General features: G+C 46.0%; 1 protein-coding gene across 3 annotated transcripts in view, besides 1 other annotated feature; it reads left to right on the top strand.

Moving 5' to 3' along the window:
• DUSP29 (dual specificity phosphatase 29) overlaps positions 1 to 20,123 on the top strand; it is a 36,171-nt gene that overhangs the window by 7,692 nt on the left and 8,356 nt on the right. For all 3 annotated transcript variants that reach the window (NM_001003892.3, NM_001384909.1, XM_017016176.2), the window contains one exon: positions 7,403 to 7,636. In NM_001003892.3, the coding sequence (NP_001003892.1) occupies positions 7,437 to 7,636 (200 nt within the window). In that variant the 5' untranslated portion in view covers positions 7,403 to 7,436. The remainder of the gene's footprint in view (positions 1 to 7,402; positions 7,637 to 20,123) is intronic.
• Positions 7,179 to 7,730: an enhancer, noted in NCBI's record as "H3K4me1 hESC enhancer chr10:76817979-76818530 (GRCh37/hg19 assembly coordinates)". NCBI's record gives its function as "activates a minimal SCP1, AML or CMV promoter by ChIP-STARR-seq in primed H9 embryonic stem cells {active_cell/tissue: H9 hESC(primed)}" and the evidence as "EXISTENCE:reporter gene assay evidence [ECO:0000049][PMID:30033119]".

Below are 20,123 nucleotides of genomic sequence, written 5' to 3'. Positions count from 1 at the left end.
GAGACAGGCCTGGGCACCATAGCAAGACAATGTCTACAAAAATAAAATAATAAAATAAAATAAAATAAAATAAATGATAATAATAATAGTAAATTAGCTGGGTGTGGTGGCACATGCCTGCAGTCCTAGCTGCTCTAGAGGCTGAGGTGGGAGGATCCCTTGAACCTGGGAGATTGAGGCTGCAGCGAGCCATGATTGAACCACTGCACCACAGCCTGGGCAACTGAGTGAGGCCCTGTCTCTACGGAAAAAAAAAAAAATCCTTAAATTGTGCTTTCTGTTAAGCAAGAAGCCTGTATGTGGCTCTTCAAAATATTAAGATGGCTGGGCGCGGTGGCTCATGCCTGTAATCCCAGCACTTTGAGAGGCCAAGGTGGGTGGATCATTTGAGGTCAGAAGTTTGAGACCAGCCTGGCCAACATGGTGAAACCCTGTCTTTACTAAAAATACAAAATTTAGCCGGGTGGGGTGGCGGGTGCCTGTAGTGTCAGCTACTCCGGAGGCTGAGGCAGGAGAATCGCTTGAACCCGTGAGCTCCAGCCTGGGTGACAGAGCAAGACTCTGTCTCAAAAAAAAAAAGAAAAAAGATAAGCCTTCTTTCCTGACACATGCTCTCATTCCTAGGCATTGCTCCCTAGCCAATCTCTGCAGCCTCAAGGGTTCTACTTAGAGATTTTAATTTTCCCACTGAAATGAATTATGCATCTCTCCAGGCCGCTTCTCCCATCTGCCACCTTAGCAAGCAAAAGAGTTCAGCTTGAAATTTTTTTGTTTTTTTGTTTGTTTGTTTAAAAAGCATTTTGCCCCTCTAGCTTTAGCTCCATTTTTGTCAAAGAAGGCACTGGAGCTCAGGGAGGATGGAACATGTAGATCTGAGGGTCTTCAGTGATTGCTGGGGCCAGTGACAGTGCCAGGCCCCAGGAGCAAGTGAGATGGGGTAGAAATCGCAAAATAGAAGTCACAAGCAGCTTCCTGCCAAGACTGTTCTGCTTGGCCAGCACAGTTTAAAAATATACACATGGTTATTTATTATAAAATATCACTATTTATTAAAAGAATCCCAAATTAGGAAACAGAAGAAAAAGTCACCCATGGTATTGACATTTTGATGTATTTTTTTCCTAGTTAAAAAAAAAAACTATAAAAAGTTTTTTGCTTGTTTGGGTTTTTTTATGCATAAAGTAAAATAATGGTGTCAAATTACAGTTTCAAATTCAGATTAAAACCTTTCCTACTTGGGCAAAGGAAACCTTTAACTAAATGCAAGCCTTGCAATAGAAAATTCTGAAATAAGCCAGGTGCAGTGGCTCATGCTTGTAATCCCAGAATTTTGTGGGGCTGAGGCAGGAGGAACGCTTGAGCCCAGGAGTTCAAGACCCGTTTGGGCAACATGGTGAGAGCCCATCTCTACAAAAAACTTTTTTTGTTGTTGTTTTTTGTTTCTGAGACGGAGTCTCGCTCTGTCACTAGGCTGGAGTGCAGTGGCGCGATCTCGGTTCACTGCAACCTCTGCCTCCCAGGTTCAAGCAATTCTCCTGCCTCAGCCTCCCAAGTCACTGGGACTACAGGCATGCGCCACCACACCCAGCTAAATTTTGTATTTTTGGTAGAGACGGGGTTTCACCATGTTGGCCAGGATAGTCTCGATCTCTTGACTCTGTGATCCACCTGCCTTGGCCTCCCAAAGTGCTGGGATTACAGGCGTGAGCCACCGTGCCCGGCTACAAAAAAACTTTAAAAAAAAAATTAGCCAGGTGTGGTGGTGCAACCTGTGGTCTCAGCTACTTGGGAGGCTGAGGCAAGAGGATATTGAGCCCAGGAGTTTGAGGCTGCAGTGAGCTGTGCCACTGCACTCCAGCCTGGGTGACAAAGTGAGACGTTATCTCAAAAAAAAAAAAGTCTGAACTAGAGTCTGAGTTAATGAGGAGTCCCTGTGCTGATAGCTCTTCAAAGGCAAGGTCACTTTCATGGAAGGAAATGGCACTCCAGGCCTTAGTGGTCAAGTACTGCTCGGCCTCTTGCATCTTCTGTTATCATGGTAGCTTTGTTTTTTCTTTTCTCCTTACATTTTTATTTTTAATTGACAAATAATAATTGTATTTGTGGGATACGATGTGATGTTTTGATATATGTATACCGTGTCTTTCACCTTTAAATGTTTTTAAATTAGCTGTACCTTGGTTTAGTTTCCTTTAAAAGCACACTCTGAGACTAGAGTTTGGGTGCATGTTGTTTATTTGAGAGGTGCTCCCGGGAGCACGGTGTGGCATGCAGAGCACCCAAGAGGGAGGAGAACCAGTGAAGGATGTGTAAGCGAGCAGAGTCCCACTCTGGGCAACTGGAGCTCCAACACACGGGCCAGCCTCCAGGAGACTGTGCAGGACATATTTCAAAAGTGGTCCACTCAGGGTTGAGGAAGTGGGGATGTTTATCCACCAACTCCTGCCTCTAATTGGTGACAACTTCTGGGGGATGTTAACTCCACATACTGCAGGCCTGACCAGCACAAGGACTAGAAAATGCCCTCAAGCAGGAAAACAGGCATCTGAGGTAGGAAGGCTTTTATGTATATAAAGAACTGTCCACTTCTGCTGCAGTGACTTGAGCTGAGGAGGCACCTGTAGGCACCTGTAGTAGATGCTATCCTTGTAACAGGGCAAGAATAGCATCGATTACAGGGGCTTACATTTAAAAATCAATAGATTTCTCACAACAATCTATGAGGATCATAAAAATACCAGAAAATCTGGGCTTGCATTCCCACATGGGACAGCAAGCTGCTGCCCCCTTAATGGAGGCATATGCTCCCTGATGTGCCACACTCCCCACCACTCCCTAATGTCTCTTGCCTGAGGCCAACAGCCAGGTTTTTGTTTGTTTACTTTTTAACACCCAACCTACTTCCTTCCTCTATGTTATCTGCCTGGCCCCTCCCTGAAGGAGCCTGAGTTTGTCACCTTTTAAGGAGGAGACAGGCTGCCATTGCATGTAGGCCAAGTCGTCTCGGAGACAGCATTTGATTTCCTGGGACCAAATCTTTAAATATGAAGCTGTAACAGGAACCTGGGGGCCTCTCTTGACAGCCTGCCCAGCTCTCATTATGACATTTAGCCTGTGATTGATATTGTGTGTGTCATTGAGACCTTGGCAGTTAATCTCTGGGTCGAATCTATGGAAACCAAACAGAACAGATTTGTCTTCCCTTCCATGTTGGCTGTGATCTGGGAAACAGATGCTCCTGGCCTCTCTGAGAATTAGAGAGTTGGGAGCCATGCAGAGAGGGTGCACACAGGCCGCCTTCAGGATTTGGAAAGATTACAGGTCTGTGGTTTCTGGACGGTTCCACACTTTGTTCTCTTTCCCCATCAAATCTGCGTGCTGGAGGATAATAGATCCCAGGGCTCACTCTGCGTGCCAAGCTCCTCGGGGTAGACCGCACCACTTCCTCCTTTGTCTGGAAATCCAGCCGAGGCTTTCAGCACAGAGATGGAGACGGGGATGGTTCCCTCCACAGTGTAATGAAGGAAGAATGGCCTCACCAAGGGTGAGGTCAGCTTCAGTGATCAAAGGAGGCAGACGGAGGTTTCAGAACGGAATTGACTCTAGCGTCTCCCGAAAATCACCTCTTCTGAAGCTTCCATTAACCGCAGGCAGGGTTCAAGATGGCCTAAACCACCTTTAGGTGTATGGTGCCCAGCTTCTACTCACTTCGAACAAGAAGAGTGGGTGCCATGGACGAGCTGAGCTTCACACCTTTAGACACTGTGGGCCTGAAGCAAGGAGGGCTATAACTACGTATGCTCTTAGGGGACTGAAAGGTCTGGGCTCGTTTCTGTGAGAAAGATTTCTGGCCACTCCTTAAAATAATTTCTTCCTTCCTGACTGGAAACACAGCAGGCAGGCCCCAGAATAGAGTTTGGGCCTGAATGACCACCCGTGGGGGAGGGCAGCCCACCCTGCGCCTGCAGTCCCCTCACCTTCTCCCTCCTCCAAATCAGCCTGGAGGCTCAGTCCTGCCTTAGCAGCTCTTGCTGAGCCCCTTGCACAGGCCTCACAGCCCTTAATCATTCCTTCACCCCTCAGTCACTCATTCACTCATTCCATTCATTCACTAAGCCACTTCCTCATCCAACCCATATCTCCTGAGCACCTCTTACGTGCCAGACACCAAGGCTACAGAGAGAAGCCACACTCAGGAGCCCCGAAGCAAGGTCCTCTCTCCTCCCAGCCTGCAGCTGCATTCTGGGCCAAAGACCGGGCCTCCCACCCCACTGGGACAGCGGGAGGCATTTTGAATGAGCACCCTCACTACCTTTCCCTTGACTCCGCAGCACCCTGGCTCTCTAGCCACATCTCAGACAATTATTATCAAACTTTACTAAGCGTCAGACTCACTTCGGAGCTCATTGAGATACAGATGCCTGCGCCCCTACGAGGGTGCAGCCCGGATATCTGTATTTTTGGTTAGTGCCAGGTGACTCTGACAGACGTGGTCTTCAGACCACACTTTGAGAGACTTCACAGGAGGGTCCCCTTTGCTGCCTATTGCCCTCTCCACACTTCACCAGGAAGCAGGAAGTTGTTGGAGGAAGTCACAAACCCTGGCTTCCCACAATCCCTACAGACACTCATGGCTAGCTAGTGATCCTTTAAGTCATCTGCTATGGACTTGGGAGAATCCAATTCCCCAAAGCAGTGGTCTCAACCCTTTCCTTTTAAATTTCTATCATGGAGAATTTCAAACACACCTGAAGAGAAACAGCAACTGGCCAGGTGTGATGGCTCACACCTGTAATCCCAACACTTTGGGAAGCTGAGGTGGGAGGATCACTTGAGCTCAGGAGTTCGAGACCAGCTTGGCCAACATAGCGAGACCTCATCTCTATTTTAAAAAAGGAAAAAAGAGAAACAACAACTACCTTATAACCATCATCCAGCCCCAATCACCATCACTCATAGCCAGCCCATCTCATTCACACCTACATCAATACCTTGCCCCAACATTATATTATTTATATTTTCCAACTATATTATTTTTGAAGCAAATATTTCAGTATGTTTTTCTAAAAGATAAGGCCCTGTGGTATAACGTAACTGTCCTCGGAATCTCCAGCAAGTCGGCTGATAGATATAGACCTCTTTGGTGAGATGATTCCCGCCATGGTGGTGTGCTCTTCTATTCGAAGGCATATGATGTCTGACCATCTCTTCTTATTCATACGTGGCTGGCAGTTTATGCTCAGTCTCTGGATGCAGCAACTCATCAGGTGGTGTAAAATGGTGCTTCCTTCTTTATTCATTATCTGGAATACTTCTATAAAAGAACATTTCCCGTATCAACCCAGTAGTATATAGTTTGTAAAAGAGAGAAGCAATACATGCAGATTCTTCTCCTTTATCTATCCATCTTCAAAATAAGGAGCTGGTTCCCAAACATCTTCCAACCGTGCATAATAAGTTTTGGGTTTTTTTTTTTTTTTTTATAAGGTCTCACTGTGTTGCCCAGGAGAGCAGTGATATGATCTTGGCTCACTATAGCCTCAGCCTCCTGGGCTCCAGTGGTCCTCCCACCTCAGCCTCAGCCTCCTGAGTAGCTGGGACTACAGGCATGCACCACCACACCCAGCTAATTTTTGCATTTTTTTGTAGAGATGGGTTTTGTCATGTTGCTCAGGCTGGTCTTGAACTCCTGGGCTCATGCAATCTGCCCACCTCAGCCTCCCAGAGTGCTGGGATTACAGGCATAAGCCACTGCTCCCGGACTGTTTTCAGTATTATTATTATTATTTTGAGATGGAGTTTCACTCTTGTTGCCCAGGCTGGAGTGCAGTGGTGCGATCTCAGCTCACTGCAACCTCTGCCTCCTAGGTTCAAGCGATTCTCCTGCCTCAGCCTCCCAAGTAGCTGGGATTACAGGCACCCGCCACTACACCCGGCTAATTTTTTGTATTTTTAGTAGAGATGGGGTTTCGCCATGTTAGGCAGTCTGGTCTTGAACTCCTGACCTCAGGTGATCTGCCCGCCTCGGCCTCCCAAAGTGCTGGGATTACAGGCATGAGCCACCGCGCCTGGCCTTCAGTATTATTATGACCTAAGTGTTTGATGTGTTTTGATCCACTGGAATTATTTTTATTTTTCATGTTCAAATTGTTCCAGTTTTGATAAGTGGAAGCTTCTTCAAGTTGTATTCTGAGTCCCTTTGACATGTTCCTAATGGTCTTTGAAGCCATGAACCCTTTCCTACATTCTCTGCATCCCCGGCCTGCCCCTCCTCACACTGCACCTCCCATCTCCCTCCCCCTGACACTAAGACCCTGTGCTACAGACAGCCTCAATTCATGATCCTCCTTATCTGTAAAATGGGGCTAATGATAGGGTATTAGGATAACCCTATCTCAGTGTTGTTAAGATTAAATGGGCTTACAATCATCAAGCACTTGGAATAGTGTCTGGCACACAATAGGTGTTATATAAGTATTTGTCAAATAAATAAACAAATAGCATTCACCTCCATGGTTCTCAGTCTTCCCACCTTTTCCTCCTTCTCTCCAGTCTCCTTTCCCAGGCTGACCATAGGTGCATCATTTACTCAGCTCAGGAAACAATCAATGTCCAATTCCACTGCAAATTCCTCTCCTTGGGGACAATGGAAAGTCCTCTCCCACATTCCACTGGCAGAGCCTAACAAGCTCTCCAAATGCACATTTCAGTCTCGAGGCACAGCTTTCTATCTTGGGGCATCTCTTCCAATCCCCTTGGTAAGTTAACACAGTGATGGCCAGGCTCCCAGTGTGAGAGTGTGAGCATTGCCTTCAGCTCTTCTGACAGGTTAACCCTCATGCAGCCAGGTTTCCTCCCCTCTCAAGGCTTCTGAAGTCCTGCTGATGTGCGTGTGGCCCAGACCCAGGCCCGGGCAGGTATGGCCTTGGCGATGTACTCTTTCCACTGGCTGACGGCTCCCTGCAGACACTGAGAGGGCCACAGGCCTGGAATGTCAGGAATCTTCTGGGCCTTCCTATTTTGGGTCCCAAATGGCCCAAACCAGTAGGTTTCAGTCAGATAAAGGAAAAAGTAGGAACCAAAGGAGTAAAGTCTAAAGAAAGGTGGGAAGGAACTGGCTGCTTGCAGGATTTCTTAGCTCCAGAGCCCGCCTTGGCCCACGTCCAAGGACCCCAGCTCTCCTTCTCTAGAAAGATTGGAACATTGGGGAAGTGTCATTTAACTGCCATCATGGCCTTCCTTGTTTACCTGTGTGGCCTGGGAAGAGGAAGCCGGGGCATAGCAGGTTGGGGAAACTCTTTCCAAATTTTAAGATAAGCTTATTCCCACCTCTTTTTGTAAAGCCTATTCCCTGCCTCAGTGTCCCCTGCTAACCCCCATCCTGCTTCTCTCTCATAACCAGCTGCAGAAAGGAGAGAAAATCCCTTGGCTCTAAAATGACATCTGGAGAAGTGAAGACAAGCCTCAAGAATGCCTACTCATCTGCCAAGAGGCTGTCGCCGAAGATGGAGGAGGAAGGGGAGGAGGAGGACTACTGCACCCCTGGAGCCTTTGAGCTGGAGCGGCTCTTCTGGAAGGGCAGTCCCCAGTACACCCACGTCAACGAGGTCTGGCCCAAGCTCTACATTGGCGATGAGTAAGTGCCCAGGCCCAGGCTCGCTTGGGAGCAGGCAGCAGCCCCTCCCCAGGCCACGCCCTGCGCCACCTCCTAGCCATGGGCTTTGGAATTTGTAGTCGTTCTGTGAGAACTCAATTAGTTAGGGCTGGGCTTGCCTTCACATTACAGAAAACCTAAACAAAGTCTTAGGCAAGATAGAGGTTTATTTCTCTCTCACATATAAGTGCAGAGGGAGGTGGGCTGGGGCTGGCACGGCCACTGCAGGGTCATCAGGGACTCAGACTCCTGTGTTTCTGCGCCACTGTCCTGGGGACGTGGCTTCTTCCCTCCAGGTGCTGCAGGGTCCCAGATTGCCGCCAGGACCCCAGCCATCAACTCTAGGACCCAGACAGCAGGAGGGTGGAGGGAAAGAAAGAGCAGAAGGGCATCTTCCGAAAGCAAAGTCCCATCCCAGACTTCCCCTGCCCCTAGCTGCAAGGGAGCCTGGGAAATGTAGTCTTTTATTTTAGCTAGCTATAATACCCTCAAGAATAAAATCAGTTCTTAGGTGGATGGTGCAGGAACACATCAATATATGCCTGGAAGTATGGGAGCCTAAATTTAGGTCACTGTCACCTCCTTTAGATTTTTATAACCACCATTCCCCACTCCCTACACAACTGAGATGCACCTACTGTAAATAATATTAATAATGATAACGACTATCCTTTCTTGAACACTGTATGCCAGGCATTGTGCTAAGCATCCTGCATGCATGATCTCATTTTACTCTCCTGATAACCCAGTGATAGAGGCTAATTACTCCCATTATAAAGATAGGGAAACTGAGGCACAGAGCAGTTAAATAACTGGCCCAAGTCCCACAGCTCAGTCAGTGGCAGAGAGCTGGGATTAAAATGCAGCTCTGCCCAACCCAGAGGCTTGTTCTTAACTGCTCCTCCCTCCACTCTCCCGGACTCCAGCCATGTTCCATCTCACCAAGGAGCAGATGCAGATGCTGTAGGACCCCTCCATATATTATTGTATTTATTTTTTTTCTTTTTCTTTTTTTTTCGAGACAGTCTCACCCTGTCACCCACGTTGAAGTGCAGGTTGGAGTGGTGTGACCTCGGCTCACTGCAACCTCTGCCTCCTGGGTTCAAGCAATCCTCTGTCTCAGCTTCCCAAGTAGCTGGGATTACAGGCACCTGCCTCCACACCTGGCTAATTTTTTATTTTTAGTAGAAACAGGGTTTCACCATGTTGGCCAGGCTGGTCTCCAACTCCTGACCTCAGTTGATCTGCCCACATCAGCCTCCCAAAGTGCCGGGATTAAAGGTGTGAGCCACCGTGCCCGGCCTATATGTGATTTTAATACATATCTTGCTGCTTAATACCTGGAGATAATCGTCTAGCCATAGGAAGATCCAGGGTAAGCATCCCTTGCCTTTCGTCTTTCTTTTTTTAAATTGAAAAAGTTACAAATATGACATGCTTAATTATACTAGGTTAAATGAGGTAGAGGGTTATAAAGACAAACTGCATAATCTCCCTTTGTCTCCTCTTAATTCTACCCCTGACTAACCAGTGTTAAATTTACTTGCATACTTCTACTACCTTGTGTGGGCTATTGCCAACATAAGGAAACATATACACACATATAAAGGGTTTACTTTTTTTTTTTTTTGAGATGGAGTCTCCCTCTGTCACCCAGGCTGGAGTGCAGTGGCACCATCTTGACTCACTGCAACCTCCACCTCCTGGGTTCAAGCGATTCTCTTGCCTCAGCCTCCTGAGTAGCTGGGATTACAGGCATGCGCCACCACGCCCAGCTAATTTTTTTTTTTTTTTGAGATGTCCCTCAATGGCGCAATCTCGGCTCACTGCAACCTCCACCTCCTGGGTTCAAGTGATTCTCCTGTCTCAGCCTCCTGAGTAGCAAGAGTAACAGACACCTGCCACTATACCTGACTGATTTTTGTATTTTTAGTAGAGACAGGATTTCACTGTGTTGGCCAGGCTGGTCTCCAACTCCTGAACTCAGGTGATCCACCTGCCTCAGCCTCCCGAAGTGCTGGGATTAAAGGTGTGAGCCACTGCACCCAGGCCTATATATTTTTTAAGCAATTAAAAATGAATCATAGGCTGGGTGCTATGACTCACACCTGTAATCCCAATACTTTGGGAGGCTGAGGCAGGAGGATCGCTTGAGGGCAGGAGTTGGAGATTAGCCTGGACAAAATAGTGAGATCTTGTCTATACAAAAAAAACACAAAAAACAAAAAGCACCAGCATGGTGGTGCACACCTATAGTCCCAGCTACTGGGGAGGGAGGAAGATTGCTGGAGACCAGGAGAGTGATGCTGCAGTGAGCCAAGATTGTGCCACTGCACTTTAGCCTGAGGGATAGAGCAACAGTTTGTCTCCAAAACAAACAAAACCCCATACTATATATACATACTGTTGTATACTTTTATTAATCCATAGTTAGCTGTGCCACAATTTACCCACAATTTCTCAGTTGTGAACATTAGGGGAAGGAAGGAGAGGGGTGTACAGAAACTCTCTAAGGTTTTCTTCTTTGAATTTGGCTTTATTGAGAAATAATTCATAGACCATAAAGTTCACCCTTTTAAAGTATACAATTCAGAGCTTTTGTTATATTTACAGAGTTGTGCAAACATCACCACTCTCTAATTTCAGAATATTTTTGTCACCTCAAAAGGAAACCCTGAACCCACTAAACAGTCACTCCCCATTCCCTACCTGCCTCTCAGGCCCTGGCAACCACCAATCTACTTTCTGTTTTTATAGATTTACTGATTCCCAGACATTCTGTATAAATGGAATGTTATAATATGTTCCTGGCTTTCTTTTACTTTGTATAATGTTTTCCAGGTTCATCCAAATTGTACTTGTATCAGTATTTGATTCCTTTTTATTGCCAATCTCTGTGTGATATTTGCACGTTTCTGTAAGTCTAAAATTAGTTCAGAATAAAAAAGGCACACATATATTTTGACCCAAAATATCACTTTAAGAAATGTAATTTACAGAAATAAGAGTAGCAATAATGAGAAAATATGTGCAGCGATGCTTATTATAACACTGTTTGAAGTAGCAAAAAAAAAAAGGAGGGACTGACATCTCTAGTCTTTTAATAACAAAATATTAAATAAATGTAGTAAATATTTCCTATAATGAAAGTAATAGGCCGGGCATGATGGCTCACCCCTGTAACCCTGTAACTTTGGGAGGCCAAGGTGGGAGGATTGCTTGAGCCCAGGAGTTTGCAAGTAGCCTGAGCAATATAGCAAGACACCATCTCTACCAAAAATTTTTAAAAATTTTCTGGGCTTGGTGGCATGTACCTATAGTCCCAGCTACTTGGGGGGCTGAGGTGGGCGGATCACTTGAGTCCAGGAGGTCATGGCTACAGTGAGCTGTAATGGTGCCACTGCACTCTAGTCTGGGTGACAGAGTGAGACCCTGTCTCAAAAAAAAAAAGTAACATATGCTCATTGTGTAAATAGAGAAGTCTCGGTTTCCCTATTGGTAAGAGGCTAATAAGATAACCTTCCTCACAGGGCTGTATGGATTAAGTTGGGTAATGTGTGTAAAATAGTGCACTGCCTAGTACATAGGAAGTGCTCAGTAAAGTTTAGCTATGATAATAAAAAAATGATAAATGTAAGAAAGATTGCTTTCAATATCCCAAAGCAGTCACCAAAGGCCATTACTTCAAAGATACTCCTATTAATATTGTGGTATATTTCCTCCTAGACTTTCCGAATATTACTTTTGGTTTTGGAATTTGTTTTTATATAATTGTAACTATAATGATTATTCATTTTCTCTTATTTCTCACATAGCATCATTCATAAACATTTTCTTTTATTACTTCTTATATATTTAATTATAATAGACATGACAATATATCAGATGAACAGAAGAGCATTCATTTAACTACTTCCTTATTGTTGGGCATATCAGTTATTTTTATGTTTTCACTTTTATAAACAACACTGCAGTGGACATCTTTACACATAATGTTTTTTCTATATTTAGAATTATTTCCTTAGATCTGACCCTAGAAATGGTACAACTGAGGAAAGATTAAGATTTTAAGACTTAAACTGTCTCTGTATCTTTATCCATGCTGTTCCCTTTGTCTAAAATGTCTTTCCCTGCACCTCATGTCCAAGTCCAGATCCTATGCATTCTTCAAAGTCCATTCAAGTCACTTCTGCCATGAAGCTAGCTTCCTCCAATCCCCATAGTGAGAAGTAAGCTTTTTCTCTGTATATTATATACTGTATTTACCTTTCCTATGGCTTATAATAATAATAGTTAAGTTGTATTGAATTCTTAGGTGGTAGGTGTCATGCCTTGTGCTAGGCATCATTTAGACTCCTCAACAACCCTATAAAGGAGGAACCATTTTACAAATATTATTCCCATTTTACAAATGGACAAGTCACAGCTCAGAGAGTTCATTCATTCATTCAGTCAGCCAGTAACCCTTTACTGGACACCTTGCTTGGAGCTGCGGGGGAAAAAAAGAAGACACTGAAGCTCAGAGAAATCAAGTGACCAGCCCAAGTTCTCACCACCAGAAAGGGGTAAAATTTATACTCAAATCCAGATCAAAAAAAAAAAAACATGGTCAGTCAGGTAAAGAAGCTGTTTCAGAGTTGAGGAGGGGAGAGGGAGGAGATGGGTAGAAATGTAACAGGGAACAGAAACAGCGGTGAGTACTAGAGGGGAAGGAGCACGGGGTTTGAGTCTTGGCTCTGCCAATTACCAGTTGTGTGACCTTGGACAAATTATTTTACCTCTCTTCACCTTATGTGGCAACAATAATGGGACTTATCTCACTGGGTGAAGATTAAATGAAATCAAACAAATGCTAGAGTAGTATCTGGCAAGTAGTAAATGCTCAGTAAGTGCTTGGTGCTATTATGGATCTGAGAAAGATCACAGAAGACATGGATCTAGGCTCGACTTTTGAAGATGGGTAGGATTTCAAAGAAATTCCAGGCAGAGGAAGCAGGATGGGAATAGCTACAGAGGTGAGAAAAGCAGGGAGATTCATCTGGAATATAGGGGATGAATGTGGTACACTTTCAGAAGGTCCAAGATTAAGCCAAATTCTACTGCTGTGTGGTCAGTTTCGATTAGCTGTGCTAGTCTAATAGCTCACCCCAACATCTTGGTGGCCGGCCACAGCAATGATTCTTTCTCACTCACAATGCAGTCCATGGTGGGCCAGCTCTGCTGCGCTCCCGGCCACTTTACTCTAGGACCCAGGGTGATAGAGCAGCCCTGATTTGAGATCTTGCCAGCCTTGCAGCAGAGAGAAAAGAGAGACCTAGCAAACCATAAGCTGATTTAGAAGTGACACATGCCATTTTTGCCCACATTTCACTGGCAAAAGCAAGTCCACGCCAAAGCCTCATGTCAGTGGGGCAGGAAAGTATAACTAGCGCAGCCAGAGGGGCTGCAAACGTTCTAACAATAATGCCATCTGGCACAGCCTCCTGGTCAGGTGCATTGGCTTTGGGCAGGTTATTTTACCTTTTCCTCAACTTGAAGAATAGTTGGCCAGGCGTGGTGGCTCACGCCTGTAATCTCAACACTTTGGGAGGCCGAGGCAGGTGGCTCGCTTGAAGTCACAAGTTCGAGACCAGCCTGGCCAACATGGCAAAACCCCGCCTCTACTAAAAATACAAAAATTAGCCGGGGATGGCCGGGCGCGTTGGCTCACGCCTGTAATCCCAGCACTTTGGGAGGCCGAGGCAGGCGGATTACGAGGTCAGGAGATTGAGACCATCCTGGCTAACACGGTGAAATGCTGTCTCCACTAAAAATACAAAAAAATTAGCCTGGCATGGTGGCGGGCTCCTGTAATCCCAGCTACTCGGGAGGCCGAGGTAGGAGAATGGCGTGAACCCGGGAGGCGGAGGTTGCAGTGAGCCGAGATCGCGCCACTGCACTCCAGCCTGGTGACAAAGCGAAACTCCGTCTCAAGAAAAAAAAAAAAAAAAAAAAAAGTAGACAAATGCAAATATTATAGTTAACAAAAAAGAAATCTGGAAAGGTAGGTCAGGGCCAGCTCATGGAAGGGTGAATGACGGCCAAGGGACTTTATTCAGAAAACCATTGAGTGTCTGAGCAGAACTGACGTGTTCTAGTTAATCGAGTGCTAGACAATAAAATATGCTTGCCTCCTTGATGTTTGACCTTGAACTTGCTTCTTTCAACCAAGAAAATGGAAAATGTCACTGCCCTTTTAATTCAATCCAACTGTGCCTAATCGAGCCCCAATACAAGCACACACAGGTGTGTGAGACTTTACACCCCCAGCTGAGGGAGGGAGCCTCAAGTCAGCATGGTGTGTGCTTGTCCCTGATTTCTGTGACACTCACTTAACAAGGTTAATGAGACTCACAGACGCTTATTGCAAGAGCAATTAACTCTACCGCCAATGCAGCCATGCAAAGGTTATAAGCTGGGCTGTGAACAGGCAAGGCTGCCTGTGTTTCTTGGTCTCTTTGCAGGGGTTGCCCAAAGCAGCCAAAAGCTCCAAGCTGGTTCCTCATGCACAAAGCCTCAGTTTTAATTTGATATTTACATTTCGGTTAGGTTTTTCCTTTCCCTAAAAGCACCTAAGATTTTTGAAAGCCCAGTACCAAGGCTCTGGAAGTGAAGGAGGTCAGGACCCAGGAGTAAGGATGGATGTCCTGGGATGGCCAAAGCTACTATCTATCCTTGGAGCCCAGGCCAGTGACTGTGGGGCCTGCAGCGGGGCATACTTACCTCTAAGATGAAGCTCACTCTTTTCCTTGCTCCTTTTTGTGGAGATAGGTGGAGCGGCCAAGCATCTGCTCTGGGTCCACAGTGTCTGGACTGAACACTGGTTTCTGTGTGGCCTTGGGCAAGTCACTCAGGCTTTGTGACTTTCAGCTTCTTCGCCTATGTGGATTCTATGCGTTAATGCAAGCAAAACATGTCTCACGGTGCCCAGTACATTCATCAAGTTTGAACTATGACAAATCAGGCAGGTTCTGGAAATTCGATTCACAGTGTATGAGGAAGGTAAAGCACAGTCACTGTGCCTTGCCACCCAGGGTCCCCCATGCTAGGGGAAGCCTTGGGAGAGAAAACAACCCTGGGTCAGATTTCTCCCATGAGAATTCTATCATGACCCAGGGCAGAGTGTTGGAAGGAGGGCCTGCTCTCCTAGGCCTTCCAGGGAGGTGACCTAAGGCCTAAGAAGGCAGCCATATCAAAGTTCCTTGGGCCTGCGGGTTTCAAAATCGCTAAAGCATTTTCTCCATCCCAGGTTAGCTCAAGGGGATTCACCAAGTGGGCTGCCTGGTAATTCCAAGTCCTCACTGCTCAGCAGCCCAGGGAAGGGGAAAGGTGGCCCTGCCAGTGCAGCCTGATGAGAAAAGGCCACAAACAGGAGGGCAACGTGGAGGGTGCTCACTCTGCCGGCTCAGCAGAGGGGTCGAAGGGGTGGGGCCTGGCTGGCCACCTTGCAGATATTCCTGGGGTTCGGGGGAAGTCTTCTTCACACAAGGTGTAGCCACCCACTCCCCACTCATTCCTCTAACTCGATAGGGGTCTGAATCTGCCACAAGTGGAACTGCAGGCTCAGCGTGGAGCGGAGGGCTCAGGCATGACTCGGCACAGCGTCCCAGTCCCCACTGTGTGTGGGTGGCCACCAACTATGGGTGGCCTTTGGCAAAGCATTTTATTGTTCTGGGACTCAGTTTCTTTATTTGTAAAATAAAGGATGATTTCGAAGGTTCCCTTCCAGCTCTAAAATAAAATTATTTAAGAAATGGCCTATTAAATGAATTAGGCTTTATTAGTTTCAAGCACACACTTGTTTTATTACTTTTAAGTCATTCAAATTAGATTCAAATTAGGTTAACCAAGTGTTGTCCTCCAGAGAGCCAGGGACTGGCGTCAATGATGAGATAAGAATAATTCATCACCTCTTATCAATCAGCAGTCCCTAAATGGGTGCTTCAAAAATGCTTGAGTACGCTCGAAAGCACTAAGTTTCTGTAATTTAAATATTCTCACTTTAATCTCGTTCACATCTTTCATTTGCTTAGCAAAATCTTTTTTCAGTCCTTTTTTTCCCTATAGTCAGCAGGAGGGGAAATATCCTGGCTACCATCAAAGTGATTGCAAATTCCTAGGCAGGGCAGCCTCCAGTGATAAGGCTTGGCTGAAACGGGATAATTGAGAAATCTCTCTTCCCTCTCCACAATGCGGGTGTCGGAGAGCCAGTGCCAGGGTGAGGTTAAACTTCTGCTGCTCATGGAATGGTGCGGGCCCTCAGGAGCTCCTTATTTTTGTGTAAACTACAGTTGCCTCCAAGGTCCGGCATTTGGGCTCAGATTCCTGCCAAGGCCTGCAGCCTGCCCCACCCACCCAGCCCAAGCTGGCTTTCCAGGGAACCTCTGTCTTGTCCTTTCTGCTTTTCTGCTTCTGACCAGACCCACAGCCTCAGAAGCCAGAGGCATCGCCACAGCTGGCCTGGCGTTGAGAGCCTGGGAAGTGAAGTGAAGGCAAGTCAGTCAGCTGAGACAGCTCCTTCTCCCCGAAAAGGAGGAACTAATTCCGCCTTAAGGCACCGAGCACGAATGAAATTAACCTGCTTCTTCGAGGTGTGGGTGGTGTGGCCAGTTTAGGATGCAGCAAAAAACAGTCAAGGTTGCGAATTTAACATGCTGGGCGTTACCTGAAATAACTAGGACTTCCAACTACTGAAGGCAACTGAGGCATAGCTGGGCAGCAGTCACAGGCAAGACGGTCGGGGAGAGAAGCCTGAGGCCCTGGCCTGGCCTGGCCTTCTCATTGCCAGAACACGGCTTAGCAGTCAAGGCCTCAAGCAACATAAACCATCTCCTTGCATGGTTAGGCAAATGCCGAGTCCAATCACTCACACGACATCATTTCTCAAAACCAGACCTCCTGGGTACTCTCTTCTCTTCACCTCCATCCTTGGAGGAATAGAGTTTGGGAGAGTGGGGCAGACAGGAGATTTCCAGTAGAAGTTAAAAACCCCGAGGCCACCTTATGCCTTTACAATGGTCTCTCCTGAAAACTAAGGAAATAACAATACAAATCATGCTATATTTACATAGTAAATGAATATATGACTCGTTCATTACTGAAAATGTACAAAATGTAGAAAGACAAAAACAAGAAAATTTAAACTACATATAATCCCATTACCACATTTTGTCATGGGATAAGCACATTCTGACATAAATCTTTCCACTGCCTTTTCCCCTTGGAGTCATCTTTTAACCTCTCAAAGAAGCTTCAGTATTGCATCATTCAACTTCACAAGACTCTCACAAGGAAAGTACTGCCAGTGTAATCGGTACTATTTAGCAAACAAAGAAAACGGAGGCTCCCAGCAGTTCTGCCACCTCAGTTCATGCGTCAGTTTCAGCTGTCAGCCCTATGTTTTCTCAGGTGCCTCAACACGGAGGAGCTTCACCCTCAAGTAACAAGAACACCCAAGACACCGGAAGGCCGGTTCATTTCACTTTCCCATCAGGTGAACTAACCGAGATCAGATGCCAGAAATGTGCCCACTGTTTTAAAGTCCACTTGCAAGGAACGGGCACACTCAAGACTGCACGGTTAAGACTCCACTGGGTTTGGGAGGTGGAGGCAGGTGGATTACCTGAAGTCAGGAATTTGAGACCAGCCTGGCCAACATGGTGAAACCCTGTCTCTACTAAAAATACAAAAATTAGCCACGCATGGTGGCACACACGTGTAATCTCAGCTACTCGGGAGGCTGAGGCAGGAGAATTGCTTGAACCTGGGAGGTGGAGGTTGCAGTGAGCAGTGAGCCGAGATTGCGCCACTGCACTCCAGCCTGGGCGACAGAGCGAGACTCTGTCTCAAAAAAAAAAAAGAAAAAAAAAGTAAACTACATGATTCCAGTGAACTGGGAAGAGTAAAAAAAAGGTTACAAAAAAAAAAAGTAAACTGCATGAGTCCAACAAATGTGTAAACAATGTCCATCACTGCTAAAATGAATCAGTGAAAACAAGACACCATTAATTTTTTTTGTCTATGAAATTGACAAAGAATACGGACTGCAATTTTTAGCAATTTTAGCAAGTTTTCTGTAGGGTAATTTAGTAACAAGTATCAAATGTATTTTAAAATGGCCATATCTGTTGACCCAGCAATTTCACCTTTAAAAATGTCTCCTACGGACATAAACAGAGGAGTGCCCAAAGAAACACATCAAAATGTTTGGTAAGAAAAAATTGGGACATACCTATATAATGAAATAGCATGCAGTTATTGAAGTCTTATATGTTGCCACAGGAAGATGTTTACAATATATCACGTCAAAGGTTTTGAAACTTTATATATATAGTATTGTACCAAAAAAAAACCTTTCTATAAAATATACAAATCTATGCATAGAGAAACAATGGGAGGTTCTTACATCAAAAGCTAACAATAGCCTTTATCTCCAGGGGAGTAGAAATACAGGTGATTTTTTTGGAGGGGGGAGTATGTTTTCTACATTCTACATTGAGCATGTGTTATTTTTGTCATGAGACGACATATTATTTAAAAATTGAACAGACTGATCACATCTAGGATTGTGCCTAACCAGAAACTAAAGCTCCTGTGTCATCTAGATTCTGGAAGTACATTCTTAAATCTGTTTTTCTTTCTGAAGTCTTTTCTCCCTCAGCAGAGGCATTTATGTGGACCCAGGAGTGGGGCACACGGCCTTTTCTCCATGCCCATCACCTCAAAATGCCCCTGTGTTTCTTAGTCTCTTTTTAACATATGTGAGCAGATAATGTATGTGGCCCTGAAATTTAAAAACAAAACCAAAGCAATCTAGTGTCAGACACCACCCTCTGAGCCTGCCCCACTCCCAATAATTGCTGAGCTGGGCATCTGTCCCATCTGGGGACTGGACGATGGGTGTCTGTGATGATGGCTCTGCCTCCCCCACAACATCTGTGTAAGAGGCACTCCATTTATTTGCAGATTCCCATTCTGCTGTGGATGCTCTTTCAAGCCCTCAACTGAACTCTGAGTGAATGAAGCTGGGGGAAGTCCCCAGAGTGATGTGTGAGGATACCAACTCCCCTTCCCGTCCAGGGAGCCAAGACCCTGAAAACTTGTGGTGGGCCTCAAATACCCACCGGGTCTCAGGGTCCTCACGAGCCCCTTTCTCTGCCTCAGGCACAACCAACGTCAGCCTGGTGTGGTGGATATGGAGGTGTCAGGCAATGAGTCTTGTTGCATATCTATCCCGCTCCCCAAAAGTGGCAAAGTGCAAACTGTTATTCATTCAAACTGCCACTTGATTATGTTGAAAGCCAGTTACTGAACCCAGAGAGAACAGTCTTCATGGTGGGTAGGAGCTTCCTGTCAAGAAGAGTTAATTTTAATTTTTCCACTGAGCTCAACCTCAAAGTGAGGTTGATTGCTACTCAGCAAGATGGACTGCATTAGCGGCGGCTTTAATTGGGCGCAGATCTACGTCCCCAAAGCATAATGTTTGTTGTACACATACTTTGGGGCAAGACGAAAAATGAAAAGCAGACCTTTCTAAGGAAAAATGGAAAGCACAATGTGTCCCACAGTCAGAATGGCCACACTAAGAGCCAAGTGGAGGGGGGCTCAGTGGGACTCCCCACCTCCCCATGCCACAGTTCTGATGGGCTGTCTGCAAATGTTTCCAAATGCTCAATTCCCTTCCCAAACACTGGACACCATCATGGTTCTCATGCCAAATAAAAAGCTCCAGGAAACCAATGAAAGACAAGCGCACCCTTGGCCGAGGGGCCATGGCATATATTTCTGGTGTGAGGCTTCCTCCTGGCTCAGGGTGTTGGTCCCTGCTAGCATCTAACATGGTCACTTCTGTCCACATGCTTTTACCAGTGGCCTTGAGATGAGCCCTCAGCTGGAGTGCAATGCCACTTTTACCCTCTTACTGGTACGGCTCCAGACCCTTGTCACATCTTCCCTGAGCTGAAGTCCTGGTCTTCATGCTATTGAGGGAAGTGTCTTCTTAAACCCAGATTGTATCACTTCTCTTTAAACACTCTCTAGAGCTCTCTTTGACTCCCAAACACAGATCCTAGCATCCAGGATCCCCACACATCAGCCAGATTGATTTTTCTTTTTCTTTCTTTCTTTTTTCTTTTCTTTTTTTTTTAAAGACAGAGTCTCTGCTGCTCAGACTGAGTGCAGTGGTGCAATCACAGCTCACTGCAGCCTCAACCTCCCTGAGCTCAGGTGATCCTCCCACTTCAGCCTCCCCAGTAGCTGGGACTACAGGCACATGCCAGCATGCCCGGCTAATTTTTTTCCCTTATATCTTGTAGAGATGGGGTTTCATGATGTTGCCCAGGCTGGTCTTGAACTCCTGGTCTCAGGCCACCCTCCCGCTTTGGCCTCCCCAAAGTGCTAGGATTACAGGTGTGAGCCACCTTGTCTGGCC

Source organism: Homo sapiens, chromosome 10 (assembly GCF_000001405.40).
Source record: "Homo sapiens chromosome 10, GRCh38.p14 Primary Assembly".
Classification (NCBI taxonomy): domain Eukaryota; kingdom Metazoa; phylum Chordata; class Mammalia; order Primates; family Hominidae; genus Homo; species Homo sapiens.
The sequence above is the reverse complement of the archived record's forward strand: the minus strand, read 5'-3'. Positions and strand labels throughout refer to the sequence as shown.